This window comes from Homo sapiens, chromosome X (genome assembly GCF_000001405.40).
Source record: "Homo sapiens chromosome X, GRCh38.p14 Primary Assembly".
In the NCBI taxonomy this organism is placed as follows: Eukaryota; Metazoa; Chordata; class Mammalia; order Primates; family Hominidae; genus Homo; species Homo sapiens.
Genome location: NC_000023.11, coordinates 120,204,955 through 120,225,446, shown reverse-complemented (window position 1 = coordinate 120,225,446; position 20,492 = coordinate 120,204,955). Strand labels below are relative to the sequence as shown.

At 43.1% G+C, this 20,492-nt stretch overlaps 1 pseudogene, besides 1 other annotated feature; it reads left to right on the top strand.

Moving 5' to 3' along the window:
• Window positions 716-1,010: a silencer, noted in NCBI's record as "tiled region #12959; K562 Repressive DNase matched - State 8:EnhW". NCBI's record gives its function as "represses a minimal TATA promoter and a strong SV40 promoter by Sharpr-MPRA in K562 cells {active_cell/tissue: K562}" and the evidence as "EXISTENCE:reporter gene assay evidence [ECO:0000049][PMID:27701403]".
• On the top strand, window positions 12,670-15,023 carry EEF1A1P30 (eukaryotic translation elongation factor 1 alpha 1 pseudogene 30; annotated as a pseudogene).

Sequence of the window (20,492 nt, the reverse complement as noted above, 5' to 3'; positions counted from 1 at the left end):
TACCTAATCTATTTATTACTCACTTATCTATCTATCATTCTATCAATTTGTCTATGTATTTACTTACCTATCTGTCTATTTATTTATTTAGAGATGGGAGTCACTATGTTGCTCAGGCTGGTGTCAAACTCCTGGTCTCAAGCAATTCTTTCACCTCAGCCTCCTAAGTGTCTGGGATCACAGGCTCCAGTCACTATGCCTGGCTACGTTGGATTTTTAGACAGAAGGTTTGCTTCAAGTATGATTAAGGAGTAATTCATTCTCTGTAACCTCTTGAGAGTTAAAAAGATTTTATGGCAATGGAGGCCTGATAATGGGGCCAAAGGTATTTGTGGCTTGTCTTACTGGGACACAAGAGTTGCTGAAGCCCTGGATACTGACTTGATATTTTAGCCTTTACTGCTAAGGAAAGGTGCTAAGGAAAGGTTAGCCTAACTAGGTTCAGATTCATTAGAACTCAAGATTTCTGCCCAGCCAGTAGTTTGGAGAAGAGGTATACCATTGTCAATCCTGCATACTCCAATCCAACCCCACCCTCCCAACCTTCTTGGGTTCAGGACACTGTCAGCTAACCCTGTTCTAGCTTACAGGTTCAGGATTCTGGACAGAGGCTGATGTTGCCAAGTGGTGGTGCACCCGAGGCCCTGCTAGCCCCAGTCCAAAACTAGGAGATCTCATTCCCATTGGAACAGGAATTAAAAGAAATTAAAGAGTATGTAAGCAGAAATTCAGTTGTACGTAAGAAAACCCAATTCCCTCTGAGAAAGAGAAAGAGCTAGAGTCCTTTAAAAACTAACTGCCTATTTTTCTGTGGCTAGTGAGCCTTATCTCTCCTCCCTTCCCAGGCATTGTGAAGACTCTGATTCCCTAGCTGTGCAGCTGCAAGGTCACTAGACAGATAAACTCAATTCACAAAACATGTTTTTCCTTAAAAAGTAAGAAATGAAGTAATGCATGTCTCAATTGAATAACTGCCTTTGTTTCTCGCTTCCCCCTGCACAGATCTCCCCCGACCCCATGAAATGCTTAAAAGGTAACTTAACTCTTTGTTCGGGGCTCAGTCCTTTGGATGTTAATCCAACTGGGCTGGTGCACCTAAATAATTAATAAATATCCCCCTGAACCCCATCAGTCTCTCTGATTCCTTAAAATTCCTGCTATACCATCACCAATTTCTAAGGCAGGAAAGTAGAACTGATGGCAGCGGCTGCTGCAATCATGCTGGCTGCAGCAGGGAGGCATGGCTGGGGCTGCACATTCCATGGAGCTGGTGGGAGCCCCACCCCTTCCAGGTTGGGGAGGGAGCTTCCCGGGTGCCACTGCAGTCGCCTAAACTGCAGCTATAGACCTGGGCCTCCAGCTCCATGGATCAGGCAGGAGCCCCGACCCTACTGGGCTGCAGATCTGAGCCTCCCTGTGCTCTTCGAGGGAGCCAGGAGCAGGCAGGATCCCTGTCCTCCTGAGTGCAACTATAACTGCCCAATCCGTGGCTGCAGACCCAGGCCTCTGGCTCCACAGAGCGGGCAGGAGCCAGGGACAAGTGGGAGCCCCACCCCTTCCAAGTTGGTGGGGCAGGAGCTCCTCAGGTGCATCTGTAGCTACCCTCCCAGGTGCAGGACACGGGCATCTCTGCAGCCTGCATCCTTGGGGGCCAGGAAGCCCCACCACCACAGGCTCAGGTGTGTCTGCTCCCACTGCCTGTTCTCTTTTCCCTCAGGCACCTGCTCTGATCTCATCTCAGAGAGGAGTTGGGGCCGAGCCGGAGGTGCTGTCACAGCCCGGAGGATGTGTGTAGGCTCAGGGCAGTGCTGACATGCCAGTGCCCTGCTGCCTTGGCCCCCTCCAGAATTTGAGTGCCCACGAACATGAGAGAGGAAGCTAAGGGGGGCTGAGGGCAGCTCAGCACTGGCCTGCAAGTGCCCCTCGGTGCAAGCAGCCTGGGCGCCATGGACTGCTGTGGGAGGCAGACAGGCTCCTGGGTGGAAGAGGGCAGGTCCTCAGTAAGACCCCACCTTCAGGCCAGGCGGCCAGTCCTGACGACTGGAGTGAGGACCTGTGGTGCCTTTTCTGGGCCCACCCATGGCTGCCCATGGAACAATCAGCACACACTTCCTCCCCTCTGAGGTCCCTAGAAGTTCTGGGCTCAGCCAGAGCAGGGCAGAGGATGGAGAGATGGGATTACCTGCTTACAGAGAGGAGCTACTCACTGTGGTTCTCCTCTGAGCTGTTCTAACACTTAATAAAGCTCCTCTTCCTCCTTGTCCACCCTTCACTTGTTCGCATACCTCATTCTTCCTGGATGCAGGACAAGAACTCAGGCGCCTCTTTGTCTTGTTCACTCTTCACTTGTCGCATACCTCATTCTTCCTGGACACAGGACAAGAACTAGGGCAAAGATGTCACCAGCCACAGAGGTTTCTGGCCAGAAAATTGACACTCCAAAGATCCCATAACAGAACTAGTCATTTTAATGCAAGGTCAACATCAATGTGGGTGTGGGGGGTCACAGAAAAGGCTTTTTCTTAAATGCCTGGCAGCTACTAAAAAACAGAACAAAACAACCATGTCAGGTGGGCTTTACGTCTACTCAGCATCCTAGTTAATGGAGTTAACATTGTATTTAATCCTTTTGGAAGTTCCCAATCTGCAAATTGTGACACTACAGGCCTTTTCTCCCTGTCTGACTCCTCACTTTCACTCTCCTATTTTAGGATTTAGGATCCTTTCTCTGCATGAATATAGTCTAAAGAAGGCTAGTGTAATAGAGCTCATTTTGGGCATGTTCAAATCTATTATCAAATCTCCCTAAATAGCCGATCCCCAAAGTAGGCTGTTTTATGGGCCAATATTAGTTCCCTATTCCCAGTACTGATTACATAAAACAGTTCTATTATATTTGCAAATAAGAGAAAGGGAGAAAACATCTACCAAGAGTTTCTTGGGGGAAGGTCATGCCTTAGAATTTGGAAATAGATGAGAACATTTTCTTTCTCTTTTTTCTTGTGGCTCCTTTTCCTTTTCAGAATTCTATTAAGAGACCACTATGAAAACCAGAAAAGCAGCTCATCAAACCTTGTCTTTCGTTTCCTCTGAGCTTTCCATGCCTCCTGAGATAGTGGAGGTTTCTTTCATCCTCCCAACCTGACTGTGGGAGTCAGCCAAGACTGACTGTGAGCCCTACCTATGGTGTTAGGATGACAGCACTCAGGGGCTGCTTGTTTTGGACAACCCACCATCAGATCTGCACATGTTTCCATTACTGCATGCACACACACACTCTCTCTCTCTCTCTCTGCAGCAAAACTAACAATAAACTCATCTTGATGTTTTTTCCCTGGCAATAGTTCTTTGACACAACTTTAGGTTTTCCACGGTCTCAGGTAGTCACCTTTTGATCTCATGACCTACAAATAAGTCTTCACTACTGGAGAAAATGGAAGAGTATTTCAAATTAACAGAGGTTTGAATCAACCCTGAATTGACAGCCACCCTACCACCACTAAACAAATTCTGCAAAACCCACCTCTTCATAATTGTACCACCAAAAGGGAAGAAAACAATTCCTTTGATATTAGAAATTCCTCAAGAGAGTGTTCATTTGTGCATTTGATAGTTTCATAATGTTGAGTTTGTGTGGCAGCTGCAAGGCATACTTTGTGTATAATTCTCTAATATTTGCATCGTCTTTCTGTCTGGAATTTTATTTGTTTTTGTGGTTTTTTGCCATATATATATATTACTTTAAGTTCTGGGATACATGTGCATGGAATTTTATTTGTAACTGTTCTTTGTTTTTTTTAGACAAATCTAAAGATGCCACTCCCTATGTTGCTTTACCAAAGGCTTAAGAACAACAGCAGAAGGACTTGGCCTTCATCTCCCTGCTTCAGTCTCATTATAACTAAATGTACATTAGTGTGTTTTGGGGGTGAATTACTTCCTCACACCACTGCCTAAATATTTACAAAATCACTCATTTTAGCTCAGAGGTTATGCTTGGTTTTAAATACTTCAAATAGTTAAGTACAATTGAACCCTATTTATTTATTTATTTATTTTTGAGAGGGAGTCTTGCTCTGTCGCCCAGGCTGGAGTGCAGTGTCGCGATCTCCGCTCACTGCAAGCTCTGCCTCCCAGGTTCACGCCATTCTCCTGCCTCAGAACTCCCGAGTAGCTGGGACTATAGGTGCTTGTCACCACGCCCAGCTAATTATTTTGTATTTTTAGTAGAGACAGGGTTTCACCGTGTTAGCCAGGATGGTCTCTATCTCCTGACCTCGTGATCCGCCTGCTCGGCCTCCCAAAGTGCTGGGATTACAGGCATGAGCCACCGCTCCTGGCCCTATTTATTTATTTATTTAGAGACGGAGTCTTGCTCTGTCGCCCATGCTGGAGTGCAGTGGCGTGATCTCAGCTCACTATAACCTCTGACTCCCATGTTCAAGCAATTCTCCTGCCTTAGCCTCCCAAGTAGCTGGGATTACAGGTGCATGCCACCATGCCCAGCTAATTTTTGTATAATCCAGCTCCTCAGTGCATTAATTTGAATACTTCCAGCTCAGACTGAGTCCCAACATGAAGATACACAGAAGACAGTAGTATTCTCCCTTAAGAAGGGCTAACAGCCTCTGTATTTACTTTTCTCATTTCCACTCCTTAAAGCCCCCAAAGTTCAAAACTTATTTTCTAATCATGGAAGAGGCAATAAAAACACCACTGCCCTCCAGGTTCCCATCCAGGAGCTCCTGCATCACTGTGGGTACTGCTGCTACCTCATCCTCCCACTCCTCCCTGCTTCTCCTCTTCTTTCGCCTCTCAGAACTATCTTCCTGAAATGAATTCTTTTTTTTTTTTTTTTGAGACAGGGTCTCATTCTGTCACCTTGGCTGGAGTGCAGTGGCACGATCTCAGCTCACTGCAGCCTTCACTTCCTGGGCTAGAGCAATTCTTGTGCCTAAGCCTCCTGAATAGCTGGGACTACAGATGTGCACCACCATGCCCAGCTAATTTTTATATTTTTAGTAGAGACGTGGTTTTGCCTTGTTGGCCAGGCTGGTCTTGAATCTTGACCTCAAGTGATCCACCTGCCTCGGCCTCCCAAAGTGCTAGGATTACAGGCGTGAGCCACCACACCTGGCCAAAATTGAATTCTTGTTCCCCACTGAAGTGTCAAATAAATAAGAGCCAGGCTAGGTTGAAGGCACTGTAGTTCTTTAAGAAGTGTTTTACAGGTACCCTGTGATGTGTTAATATTCTGAATATTAATAGCTCTTAACCATGGGTCCTATGCTTGACACTGTACATGAGTTTTTATCTGTACAACAACCACAATTGTCATCATCCCCATTTTAAAAGAAATTAAACCAGAGTGGAATAACTACCTCATGCATAAACAAGCCACGTCCCGCCTTGATGAATGAAGTGATTCTACTCACTGGACTTAACAGGGTATGGCCCCTCTTCTCCTGACAAGTTGGAATAGAAAAGGGCAAGTAGACAGAGGCTGGACCTGTTATATCAGGAAACCCTCTTTGAGGGTGTAAGGACATTTGATCAAACTGTCTCTTAGGTCCCTTTATCCTGGAGGACATTTATCATTTTTGTCATTAACAGTGCCTGGCACAGTAATTAAGAGCTTGATTCATGTGAGCTATTGCTATTATATGCATTGTTACTCCCATGTTATTGATAAAAACTATTTCTAACTCAAGAGACTCTTATCCAAGTCATCAGCTAGGAGTGAAAACTGAAACTGGATAGGGAGTATGGTTAGGCATTCAATATAGTACATAACTCAAACAGAAAAGGTCTGAGCCAAGCCCCTGGGCCAGGAGCATCCAGATATATCCAGAAGATGGGGGAGTGCTGAGGGAGATCCACAGACTGTGTGTGTGATGAAAGGGACATTGGAGTATAGTAGGACATACAGTTGAAAGGGAAGAAATCAAAATGTGGCTATGCTGTACAAAACTGGCAGATATGTATTCTATATGCCACTGGGAACCAGGAGATATTTTGAACAAAGAATTTACATAAGCCAATTCATGTTTTGGGAAGGAAACACAAGCTTTAGGGGGTAGAAAAAGAGGTGGAAGCTAAAGTTAGGAGTCTGATTAGAGGGAAAAGTATTGAATAACTCAAGTTTTTAATTAATATATAATGGTTGTACATATATTTCTGGGGGTACATATATTTTGATACATGTATACAATGTATAATGATCAAATAAGGGTCATTGGGGTATCCATCACCTCAAATATTTATTATTTACTTGTGTTGAAAACATTCCAAATCTTCTCTTGTAGCTATTTTGAGATATACAATAAATTATTGTTAACTATAGTCACTCTACTGTGCTATCAAACACTAGAACTTTTTGCTTCTAACTGTAGTTTTGTACCCATTAACCAACTTCTCTTCATCCTCCCTCCCTCTACCCTTCACAGCCTCTGGTAATCACTATTTTATTCTATACCTCCATGAGGTCCTTTTTTTGTTTGTTTGTTCGTTTTCATATATGAGTGAGAACATGCAATATTTGTCTTTCTGTGCCTGGTTTATTTCACATAACACAATGCCCTTCAGTTCTATCCATGTTTCTGCAAATGAAAGTATTTATTTCATTTTTATGGCTGAATAATATTTCACTGTGGTATATATACCACATTTTCTTTATTCATTTCTTGCTGGACACTTAGGTTGAATCCATATCTTGGCTATTATGCATAGTGCTGCAATAAATATGAGAGTACAGATATCTCTTCAATATATTGATTTCCTTTCTTGTGAATATATACACAACAGTGGGATTGTTGGATCATATGGTAGTTTTTTTGTTTTTTTGAGGAAACTTCATACTATTTTCATTAATGGCTGTACTAATTTAAATTTCCATCTGCAGTGTATGAGAGTTCTCCTTTCTCTGCGTCCTTACCAGCAATTGTTATTTTTGTCTTATAATAGCCATTTTTATCAGTTTTCTCAGGTTGAATATAATAGCCATTTAAATTGGGGTGAGATGATATCTCATTGTGGTTTTGATTTGCATTTCCCTGATTAGTGATGTTGAGCATTTTTCATATATCTGTTGGCTACTTGTATGTCTTCTTTTAAGAAATATATATTCATTGTTAACGGCAAATCTAAAAGAAAAAGAAATGTCTATTTAGATCACTTGCCCATTTTTAATCAGATTATTATTTTTTGCTGTTGAGTTATTTGAGTTCCTTTTCTATTTTGCATATTCACCCTTTATTTAATATATGGTTTGAAAATATTTTCTCTCATTCCATAGGTTGTCTCTTCACTCTATTGATTGTTTCCCTTGCTGTGCAGAAGCTTTTTACCTGGATGTAATGCCATTTGTCTATTTTTGCTTTTGTTGCCTGTGCTTTAGAGGTCTTACACAAAATATCTCTGCCAAGACCAATGTCTTGAAGCATTTCCTCAGCATTTTCTTCCAGTAGTTTTATAGTTTCAGGTCTTACATTTAAGTCTTTATTTAAGAGATAGGGGGTCTCATCATGTTGCCCAGGCTGGACTTGAACTTCTGGGCTCAAGCAATCAGTCCTTCTGCCTCAGCCTCTCAAGTAGTGGGACTACAGGCACACACCACCATGCCTGGCTTTCTTTAATCCATTTTGATTTGATTTTTGTATATAGTGAGAGTCAGGGGTCTAGTTTTATTCTTCTGCATATGGTTATCCAGTTTCCCCAGCATCATTTATTGAAGAAACTGTTCTTTCCCAATATATGTTCTTGGCATCTTTGTCAAAAATGAGTTGGCTGTAAATGTGTGGATTTATTTCTGTGTTCTTTATTCTGTTCCATTGGTCTATGTGCCTGCGTTTATGCCAGTACTATGCTGTTTGGGGTTACTATGGCTTTATAGCATATTTTGAAGTCAGGTAGTATGATGCCTCCAGCTTTGTTCTTTTTTTCTCAGGATTGCTGTGGCTATTTGGGGTCTTTTGTGGTTTCATATGAATTTTAGGATTGTTTTTTCTATTTCCATCAAGAATGTTGTTGGCACTTTGATAGGGATTGCAATCTGTAGATCATTTTGTATCATATTGTATGGGTAGCAAGGGAAACAATCAATAGAGTGAAGAGACCACTGTAGATCACTTTGGATAGTATGGATATTTTAACAGTATTAATTCTTCCAATCCATAAGCATGAGATATCTATTTTTTTGTATCCTCTTCAATTTATTTCATCAGTGTTTCATAGTTTTCTTTGTAAGAGATCTTTCACTTCTGTGGTTAAATTTATTCCTAGGTATTTTTTTGTAGCAATTATAAATGGGATTGCTTTTTTGATTTATTTTTCCAATTGTTTGCTGTTAGCATATACAAATGCTACTGATTTTTGTATGTTGATTATGTATCTTGCAACTTTACTGAATTTGATTATCAGTTCTAATAATTTTTTGGTAGAGTCTTTAGGTTTTTCTAGATATAAGATCATGTCATCAATGAACAAGGATAATTTAATTTCATTCTTTCCAAATTGGATGCCCTTTAGGTCTTTCTCTTGCCCAATTACTTTGGCTAGGACTTTCAGGACTATGTTTAATAAAAATAGTAAAATTGGTCATCCTTATCTTCTTTCATTTCTTAGAGGAAAGACTGCCAATTTTTCCCCAGAAAGACTACCAATTTTTCCCCATTCAGCATGATGTTAGCTGTGGGTTTGTCATATATGGCCTTTATGGTTTTGAGATATGTTCCTTCTATACCCAGTTTGTTGAGTTTTTGTCATGAAAAGATACTGAATTTTACTGAATGCTTTTTTCAGCATCTATTGAAATCATCATGGACAAAAATGTCCTTAGTTTTGTTAATGTGATATAACACATTTATTGATTTGTGTATGGTGAACCATTTTACATCCTTGTGGCAAATCCCACTTGATCATGGTGAATGATCTTTTTAATGTGATGTTGAACTTGGTTTGCTAGTATTTTATTGGGAATTTTTACATCTATGTTCATCAGGAATATTGGCCTGTAGTTTTGTTGTTGTTGTTGTTGTTATTGTTGTTGTATCTTTTGTCTTGTTTTCCTGTCAGGGTAATGCTGGCCACATACAATGAACTTGGAAGTATTCCCTACTGTTCAATTTTTTGGGGAATAATTTGAATAGAGTTTATATTCTTAAAATGTTTGGTAGAATTCATTGTGGAAGCCATCTGCTCCTGGGCTTTTCTTTGATCAGAGACTTTTTATTACTGCTTTGATCTCATTACTTGTTACTGATCTGTTTAGGCTTTCTATTTCTTATAGTTTGTATGTGTCCAAGAATTTAACCATTTCTTATAGGTTTTCCAGTTTGTTGGTATATAGTTGGTCATAATGGTCTCTCATGATCCTTTATATTTCTGTGATATTTCTGTGGTATTAGTTTTAATGTCTCCTTTTCATTTCAGATTTTATTTCTTTGGGTCTTCTCTCTTTTTTCTTGGTCTACCTAAAGATTTGTCAGTTTTGCTTGTTTATCTCTTTGGAAAACTACTTGTTTCATTGATCTTTTGTATTTTTTTATAATCTCGATTTCATTTATGTCTGTGCTGATCTTTATTATTTTCTTTTTCTCTTTTCTTTTCTTTTTCTTTCTGACAGAATCTTGCTCTGCTCCCCAGGCTGGAGTGCAGTGGTGCGATCATGGCTCACTGCAGCCTCAACCACCTGGGCTTAAACATTCCTCCTGCCTCAGCTGCCTAAGTAGCTGGGACTATAGGCACATGCCATCATTCCTGGCTAATTTTCAAACTTTTTTTGTAGACACAGTCTCACTTTGTTGCCCAGGTGGGTGTCGGGCAATCATCCTGCCTCAGTCTCCCAAAGTGCTGTGATTACAGGTGTCACCACACCCAGCCTTGTTACATTCTTTCTACTAATTTAGGGTTTGATTTGTTCTTGCTTTTCTAGTTCCTGGAGGTGCATCATTGGGTTATTTATTTGAAGTCTTTCTACTTTTTAAAAAAATTTTATTTTTAATTCTTGTGGGTATATAGTAGGTATATATATTTATGGGTACATGAGATGTGTGGATACAGGCATGCAATGTATAATAATCACATCATGGAGAATGGGGTATCCACCCCCTCAAGTGATCATTCTTTGTATTACAAACAATCCAATTATACTATTTTAGTTATTTTAAAATGTACAATTAAATTATTATTGACTATAGACACCCTGTTGTGCTATCAAATAGTAGGTGTCATTCATTCTAACTATTTTTTGGTACCCATTAATCATCCCCAACTCCCCTACCTATCCCCCACTACCCTTCCCAGCCTCTGGTAATCAACCTTCTACTATGTCCATGAGTTCAACTGTTTTGATCTTTAGATCCCACAAATAAGTAAGAAAATACGATGTTTGTCTTTCTGTGCCTAGTGCCCCCCAAAGCACTAGGATTACAGGTGTGGGCCTCTATGCGTAGCCTAAATGACTTTATTATTGCACATTCGTATCCTTTTCTTTCAGATTGAAGAACTCTCTCTAGCATTTTCTTGCAAGACAGGTCTGGTGATGATGAATTCATTCACCTTTTGTTTGTCTTAGAAAGTCTTTATCTCTCCTACATGTTTGAAGGATAGCTTTGTTGGGTATATTATTCTCAGTTTTTGCCTTGAGCACTTTGAATATGTCGTCTCACTCTCTTCTGTCCTGTATCGTTTCTGCTGAGAGTCTGTTGCCAGACAAATCAAAGTCCTTTGTGTGTTATTTGCTTTTATTTCTCTTGCTGCTTTTAGAATCTTGTCTTTGTCCTTGACCTCTGAGAGCTTAATACATATTTTGGTATAGTCCTATTTGGGTTTAATCTGTTTGGTAATCTTTGACTTTCCTGTATCTGGATATTTATATCTTTCTCTAGGTTTGGAAAGTTTTCTGTTATTTCTTTGAATAAGCTAATGACCCCCTTTTCTTTATCAATTTCCTCTTGAGGGTCAATGACTCAGATTTGCTCTTTTGAAGTTATTTTCTAGTTCTTGTAGATATTCTTCATTCCTTTTCCTTCTTTTTTCTTTTTTTCTTCTCTGACTGTGTATTTTCAAATAGACTATCTTTGAGCTCACTATTTCTTTCTTCTGCTTGATCAGTTCTGCTGTTGATACCTCTGTGATGAGTTGTTCAGTTCAGCCAATGTATTTCTCAGTTCCAGGTATCTGTTTGATTTTTTCTTATTTCCATTTCTTCATTAAATTTCTCTGATAAATTTCTAAGTTGCGTTTCTGTATTAACTTGGAGATTGCTGAGTATCTTCAAAACTGCTATTTTGAATTCTTGATCTGACTCCTGTGACTTTGCTATCTGAGAGCTCACATGTTGCTCTCTCACTGGGGTTGATCAGTGGTTCCTTGCTTTGTCCATTTGGGGAGGTCATTATTCACTGTTTGCTGTTATTTCTTATGTATGTAGATCTATGTCTTCGCATTAAAGAATTGGTTATTTTTTCAAGTCTTTCCTGTCTGAGTTGTTTTGTGTGTTTAGAGGTTCTGTGCGATTTGCCCGTTGATTCCCTTAGCCCTAGATTGCTGCCTTCTTTGAGCACTAGATGGCGCCCTAAACACAGGTTTTCTGTAGCTCTCCAAGTGCTGCCCATTACAGACAGGGGGAGATTCCAAAGGGGACTCCTCAGCTGTGTGGGGAGGCTGGCTACGGGTTCATGCCCAGAGGTTCCCTGCAGGGTGCCTCCTACAGTGTGGTGCTGCTAAACCACCTCTCTGATTTGGTGTCCCCTTTTTCTAGAGTGGAGAGCAGCCCCCCGAGTTTCTGGTGCTGGGCCATGCAGCTCCACCTCCAAGGTTTGTCTCCACCTGTCCTTAGGTGGAGGCACTTGTGATGCTTCCTGTGAGTTGAGGCAGGAACAGCTTTCTTGCATAGGAACCCAAGATGATGGGGAAGCTGGCTTTCCACCTTGATCTCACTTTTTCCAATGTAGAAACCATGAGTCTCGGAGGATTTTTCCATGTGGTGTCTAGTAGTTTGGGGGAGGGGCATTGTGGATAGAGAAGTCCATTTCTCTCACTTTCAGCTCATAGTTTTTTACTTCTCTGTGGCCTCAGGGATTGTCACAGCTTTGATTTTGAGTTCTGGGATATTGCTGGTGATAATTGTGGCACCGGATAGTTGTTTTTGGTTTTCAGTGGGCAGGGGGAGTGAATCCAGATTGCTTCTACTCCATCTTTGGTGACATCACTCCCCAACTCTGAAGTTTTGAGAACGAGTGACTGAAGAATTGTAATGCCATTATCCAAGTTAGGGGACATGGAACATGTCATGGTAAATAAATAGGTCAGTTTGTGCTTGTTGAATTTGAGAGTCATCTGCAACTAAATGGACTATAAGAATCATGACCTTGGCATTCAGGAGAGAAAGCTGAGATAAAAGCATAGATCTATAAATCATGAGTGTGAAGGGATGGTGGTTGAATCCTTTAGAGTGGAGGGGGTCATAAAGGTAGAGAGGGTAGAGTGAGAATTCAAGAGTGCCAAGAACTGGACTTTGAGCAACCAACTCCTACACCTTGACGATTGGGTAGAAGAGAAGTGAGCATACTAAGACAGGGAGCAGCAGTTGGAGAGATAGGAGAAAATTCCAAAGAGTGCTTGTCATAGAAACCAAGGGAAGAGAGAAATTCAGAAAAGAGAAAGTAGCTTTTCTGCAACAGGTTTGCTGCCAACACAGGTTGTCTTGAAAACCACCCCTAAAAACCAAAATGGGAAAGGAAAAACTCATATCAATATTGTCGTCATTGGACATGTAGATTCAGGCAAGTCCACTACTACTGGCCATCTGATCTACAAATGCAGTGGCATCAACAAAAGAACCACTGAAAAATTGAGAAGAAGGCTGCTGAGATAGGAAAGGGCTCCTTCAAGTATGCCTGAGTCTTGGATAAACTGAAAGCTGAATGGTATCACCACTGATATTTCCCTGTGGAAATTTGAGACCAGCAAGTACTACATGATTATCATTGATGCCCCAGGATACAGAGTCCTCATCAAAAACACTATTACAGGCCGAGCACAGTGGCTCACGCCTGTAATCCCAGCACTTTGGGAGGCCGAGGCGGGCGGATCACTTGAGGTCAAGAGTTCGAGACCAGCCTGGCCAACATGGTGAAACCCCATCTTTACTGAAAATACAAAAATTAGCTGGGCGTGGTGGCATGCGTCTGTAATCCCAGCTACTCGGGAGGTTGAGGCAGGAGAATCACCGGAACCCGGGAGGTGGAGGTTGCAGTGAGCCAAGATTGTACCACTGCACTCTGGCCTGGGGGACAGAGCATGACCCCGCCTCAAAAAAACAAAACAAACAAACAAAAAAAAAACGAGCACAGGCACATCTCAAGCTGACTGTGCTCTCTTGATCATTGCTCCTGGTGTTGGTGAATTTGAAGTTGGCATCTCCAAGAATGGGCAGACCCAGGAGCATGCCCTTCTGGCTTACACACTGGGTGTGAAACAACTACTTGTTGGTGTTAACAAAATGGATTCCACTTAGTCACCCTACCACCAGATGAGATACAAGGAAATCAGCACTTACATTAAGAAAATTGGCTACAACCCTGACACAGTAACATTTGTGCCAATTTCTGGTTGGCATGGTGACAACATGCTGGAGCCAAGTGGTAACATGCCTTGGTTCTAGGAATGGAAAGTCACCTATAAAGATAGCAATGCCAGTGGAACCACGCTGCTTGAGGCTCTGGACTTTATTCTACCATTAACTCATCCAACTTATGAGCCCTTGTGTCTGTGTCTCCAGGATGTCTACAAGATTGTTGGTATTGGTACTGTACCTGTGGGCCGAGCGGAGACTGGTGTTCTCAAACCTGGCATGGTGGTCAGCTTTGCTCCAGTCAATGTTAGAATTGAAGTAAAGTCTATTGAAATGCACCATGAAGCTTTGAGTGAATCTCTTCCTGGGGACAATGTGGGCCTCAATGTGAACAAGGTGTTTGCCCACTTAATAAAATCGGATATAAAGGAAAAGAAGGCTAAGTTGTTATAAACATCAGTTAGCATGCCTTACAGTTCTTGGTGGTTTAAGATCACCACTTTATATTTCAAAGCATCTGAATAAAGACAGCTTCACAGTTGCTCCCAAGTCTTCATATCTGAAAGAATCCTTTTACAAATCTGAAATGGAACAATTTGATATTTATTACAGAATCATCGTGGTCTTGCAAGAAATCAGTGATTTACATTTGTAACCATATTTCCAAAGAGAATGTCTTTTTTATGAAGTGGGGGGATGTAAGAGGTACATAGATTATTTACAGCTGTCTCTGTCAAGCATTTGCTCTTTATTTGTGTCCATTGCTGGATTCAACACTACATTGGCATATCCATACTTAGCTTTTGTTATTGCTGTTGTTCTGATTAAAAACATGCATTACATTCTTTCTAAGAAAAAAAAAAAGAACGCATCTGCCAAAGATGTTCATCATGGCAATGTTGCTGGTGACAGCAAAAATGACCCACCAATGGAAGCATCTGGCTTCACTGCTCAGGTGATTATCCTGAACCATCTAGGCCAAATCAGTGCTGGCTATGCCCCTGCACTAGATTGTCACACATCTCAAATTCCTTACAAGTGTTCTGAGCAGAAAGAAAAGGTGACCATTCTGGTAAGAAGCTAGAACATGGCCCTAAATTCTTGAAATCTGGTGGTGCTGCCATGACTGATATAGTTCCTAACAAGCCCATGTGTGTTGAGAGCTTCTCTGAATATTCTGACTATCCTGACTATTCTCTTCTGGGACATTTTGCGGGCAGATATACCTTTATACCAAGGATAGAACCAAGTATGAACTTATACAACAGGTTATATAGGTTATATAACAAGTGGAGGTGTGCACCTGCATGCCAAATTCGCTGAGACAGACAGTTGCCATGGGTTCAGAGGACAAGAAGGCGGCTAGAGCTGGCAAGGTCACCAAGTCTGTCCAGAAAGCTCAGAAAGCTAAATGAATATTATCCCTAATACATGCCACCCCAGTCTTTTTTGTTGTTGTTGTTGTTGTCTGGTGTTTTTGTTTTTTGTTTTTTGTTTTTTGTTTTGAGACAGGTTCTCACTCTGTTGCCCTGGCTGGAGTGTAGTGGCACAATCACTGCTCACTGCGACCTCTGCCTCCTGGGTTCAAGCAATCCTCCTGCCTTAGACTCCCAAGTAGCTGGAACTACAGACATGTGCCGCCATGCCTGGCTAGGTCTCATTATATTGCCCAGGCTGGTTTCAAACTCCTGGGCTCAAGTGATCTACCCACCTTAGCCTTCCAAAATGTTGGGAGTACAGGCATGAGCCACGGTGCCTGGCCTGAGTCTTAATCAGTGGTGGAAGGGTCTCAGAACTGTTTGTTTCAACTGGCCACTTAAGTTTAGTCGTAAAAGACTGGTTAATGATAACAATGCATTGTAAAACCTTTGGAAGGAAAGGAGAATGTTTTGTGAACTTTTTTTTTTTTGGCATCTGGTAGTTTTAAGTTATTTAATTTTTAAAATCAGCACTTTTTAGTGGAAACAACTTGACCAAAAATCTGTCACAGAAATTTGAGACCCATTGAAACCAAATTTAATGAGGGAAAAAAGAGAGTAGTCAACAGTGTTAAGAGTACAAAGAAATAAAGTGGACTAAGATCTGGATTTGATGTTTTATAAGTTTCTGATGAATTAAAATAGCATTTTAAAAGCAGGAGTCATATTCAAGGAACTGCAGAGAAAATGGGAGGAAGAAAAATACTTTTGCAATAAACTTAGGGTGCCATTTAAAGAAGTTTGACATCAAAAAGAAAGCGAGGGTAATAGATGGGTTACTTAAGTGTCATATACAAATCTCTTCCTTTTTTTTTCAAAATTGAATTTTTTTGTAATGTCTATAATCCTGTGTCTGATTTGCAAATTTGGATGTAAAATAAGAATCACTTGAACATAGTTGCAGAGTTTGATCAGAGAAGCAGAGTGAAAAGCAATAAGGGATGATTACAGGAATCAGACCATATGCAATTGTGGGAGCAGGGTGTCAGGTCCTGGGGTCCGGGTCCAACCCATGCTGAAGTCCGGAGGGAGTGGGTGGATGAGCAGAAAGAACATTCGGGGGGCTGTAGGCAGGTGAATATGGTTTTATTCAGCAGCAGCTTTTTTTTATTTTATTTTATTTATTTATTTTTTTTTTTTGAGACGGAGTCTCGGTCTGTCTCCCAGGCTGGAGTGCAGTAGCGCGATCTCGGCTCACTGCAAGCTCCGCCTCCCAGGTTCACACCATTCTCCTGCCTCAGCCTCCCGAGTAGCTGGGACTACAGGCGCATGCCACCTCGCCCAGCTAATTTTCTGTATTTTTAGTAGAGACGGGGTTTCACCTTGTTAGCCGGGATGGTCTCGATCTCCTGACCTCGTGATCCGCTGGCCTCGGCCTCCCAAAGTGCTGAGATTACAGGCGTGAGCCACTGCGCCCGGCCAGCAGCAGCTTTTATGAACAGCTTTCTCACACTGGCTCTCTCACACTGGCCACCCTGTCTTGGCTGCTTGAGCCAGCGGCTCCCACACACAGCTGTGCAGCCAGTTCTCCCTTGCCTTCAGGGTCAGCAGCTTAACTCTTTTTCTCTCTGGGCATGAGCAAGCCAAGCTGTGTCCTGGCTCCCTCTTGTCCATCTGCAAGACTGACAGTTTTGGCTCTCTCTCTTTCTCTGGGCACCAGCGCACCCACTACCATGTTAACCCATGTTGAGCCGAGCTGAGCCCCAACAGCCCTGTACAGCATTAGCAGGGCAAATATACCTTTATACCAAGTATAGAGCCAAGTGTGAACTTACACAAACAGGTTATATAACAAGCAGAGGTGTGCACCTGCATGCCAAACTCACTGAGTCATGCAGGCCTGGATATCCACCTCGGCTTATTCCTTGACCAAAGCACATCCATGTACCTTACACTCCACCCCCTAGGCTGAGGGAGACTTAGGTCTTGGGCACACAGGTTTGATACTCAAGTTTTGCACACAGGCCTGACATATAAACTTTGGGCACGCAGGCCTGATATATACACAGGCTTGACACATAAGCCTGACACACAAGCTTTGGGCATGCAGGCCCAATACATACACAAGCTTTTGGGCACTCTAGCCCGTTACATACATAAGCTTTGATAAACTGCCCAGCTATTGGCGCAGATTACCATAGGTTGTCACATCCTTGGTGATTACCATTCACACTGCCCTGAGTTTAGCTTATTAGCTGCTTTGCCCACACCTGGTTTCAAACCATATGGTGTTAGTACTAGGCTGGACCGCACCAGCAGTCCAGGCAGCAGTAGCACCCCAGCTAGACCTAGCTGTGTGCCATGCCCTATCAGGAATGAGGGGATGCCCTTCCTAATGATGAAGTCTCAGGGTTTAGGAGTGCCTCAGGCCCCATGGCCTTATCTTGCATTAGGACTACAGGTCCCAAGACCTCTTGCAACTTTGCTGCTAAGGGATTTGTACTTACTTAGCATACTTCACTGTTTCAAGTCGGTACCCCACTTCGCTAAAGTTGATGTCTGTGCTGCCTCTGTCCAGGGGGTCATTACCCATGAATGCACCCATCCCACTATTAATAACTGCTTCTCTATTAGTAAGCACTGGAGCTCAGCTCCCTTCCACAGTTGGGACTAACAGCCCACTGGTGCTTCCAAGTGCTCCATGCACTGCTATAGGCCCTAGCCAAAATTATCTGTGGTTACATGCACATTCAGTGTAAATGAGCACCCTGGTTTACTACCCAGAAAGGCTGTCTCAGCCTCATCACCCCAATCCCAGGCAAGAGGGACACTGCCACTTTTAAACCTGCAAGAGAATCAGAGGTTAACATAACATTATTAACAAAACCACAACATATGGTGGGGCTATACAGTAGCCCTGCAGCAACACTGTGAAAGTCCATTGTCGCTGTCCCATGAAGGCAAACTCTTCCTGGCTCTCTGGAGCATTGTCGATTGACAAGAATGCATTAGCCAAGTCCACCACACAGTGGCACTGCCAAGTTCCATTGTCAAGTGGTCTATTAAGTCTGTGATAGATGGCACAGCTGCCAAGCCATGCAAAACATCTACCCCAGAATGTCTTCAGGTATGGATGGAGAGACATACACAGCACATAAGCAGAGAGCCAAGCAGTCGATGCCAAGATGCAGAGATACAGGTTTCACTTTCACTGACCAGTCTTCATAGTTGTCAATAAATGCAGCTCTGCCTGGAAACTTATCCAGGTTCAGGGACCAGTGGATTGCGAAGTCCAAATGTGGCTCCCGTTGTCCAGTGCCCTCCAAGCTGGGCATCTCGGCCAGTTCTCTTATCAAACAGAAGAGGCTTTACACTTCCACCAACTGCAGCAGGTACTCTTTGAACTGGAATGCTCGAGCAGGACTGGGTTGCGCAGCAAGGTCCTTCTCCCAAATGGCTTGCACTAAGTCTGTGCATGACTGCCGACATTACTTGCTTAACTCCCTCAACTCAGCAGGGACACAGGCACCAAAGGAAGGGTGCTCCACCACAGCAGGGGGTCTCTGGGCCTACTCGTGGGGCCCAGTAGCTGCTCATGATCTATTTTGTGGTGGATCACTGGGCAAGCCTGCCATGGAGGTTCTTCCTCCTCACTGCACTGAGTTCCACAAGGACTGGGCATGAACTTCCCACAGCACAGTTACAAACGCTCATCTGACTCTGCCAGCAAAGGCATGCTTCTTCTCAGTGCTGTGCACTTCCAGGTGCTTCAGTGCCTTCTCCATACTCACAGGAGACCCACCCACTGCCTCCCATGTTTCCACTGGAGCCCATCTTCGCAGCACAGCTGCCACCGGGTATCACAGCCCATGCTGTGGCCACAAAGCCAACCTGGGAGCCCTCAGGGACTGGGGCCAACTCACCTCATCCCATTCTCATCACCAGTTGTCAGGTCCCGGGGTCCGGGTCCAGCCCATGCTGAAGTCCAGAGGGAGTTGGTGGATGAGCAGAAAGAACACTCGGGGCTGAAGGCAGGTGAATGTGGTTTTATTCAGCAGCAGCTTTTATTAACAGCTTTCTCACACTAGCTCTCTCACACTGTTTGCCCTGTCGCAGCTGCTTGAGCCAGTGGCTCCCACAAACAGCTGTGCATCTGGCTCTTCCTTGCCTTCAGGGTCAGCGGCTTAACTCTTTTTCTCTCTGGGCATGAGCAAGCCAAGCTGTGTGCTGGCTCCCTCCTGTCCATCTGCAAGACGGACAGCTTTGGCTCTCTCTCTTTCTTTCTCTGGGCACCAGCGTGCCCACCATGTTAAGCCATGTGGAGCTAACCAGAGTCCCAAGAGCCCCTGTAGAACGTTAGCAGGGCAGTTATACCTTTTACAGACAATAGTGGCTTAGAGCGAAGTATAAACTTACACAAACAGGTTATATAACAAGTGGAGGTGTGTGCCTGCATGCCAAACTCACTGAGTCATGCAGGCCTGGATATCCACCTTGGCCTATTCCTTGACCAAGGAACATCCATGTACCTTACACAGAGGAAGAAGTCTATAGAAGGCTATTGTCTCTGCACTTATAGCAGCCTGAGGTCACTGTAGATATTCAGGGCCCACAGTTGGGAAGAAGAGGTGTATGTGGTGTGGGGGAAAGCAAGGACAAACTGGAACCTGCAAGGATTAACTTGAATCCCTAGGACAAACTAAATCCCATGAAGACTTACTGGAACCTGCATCTGTCTCTTATTGCCTCCAACCTAAAGAAAGAGCTGGCATCCATAGTCGTGGAAGTGCACACAAACCTGACTTAGGACTTGGAGAAGTTGAAGAAGGAGATCTTGTCAGAGTTGGAGTTGCTGCAGGTCCTGTTGCTGCCCCACACCAACGAGGTGTGCCAGTTGATCAGTGCCAGTGTATGGCAGTGGTAATAGTGCCTGTCCTACCAAACTTCAGAATATAGTATCTATTGCTTCACTCCCACTTCCCAAGCCCTGCCCAAATTTTTCTCCTGGTCCACTCTAACTCAGAACCACATTGGGAAGGCAATTCCAGGAAACTATGTTTCTAGCTTAGCTAAGTTGGCAAAGCCACTTCAACAACCGTGAGACAAATACAGACTGGTAGAATGTGACTGGCCACTATTAGAGAAAAGGATAACACACAGTAGAGAAAAAAAAAAAGAATCCCAAACCAAAAAACGTATGGGTCATTCTGCACATCAGTTATAGACAAGGACTTCTCAGTGTTTGGTGCTCACATTCAACCAAAGCTGTGTCCAAGAAGGACTCATTTAACCAGTATCATCCACCCCAACAATCCTGAGTGTCTATGTCCACAATGTTCAGTAGAGCAGAAGAGGAAGAAACAGTAAGCATGGAGTTACTGGCAGCATTTTGGAATGCTTCTGGTCACCGTGAATTTTGGTCACTGACCCCTGACTTCCGAGATAAGCCATACAACACTGAACCTTCCACCCAGCTTTTCAAAGGGGGTGAGTGTTCC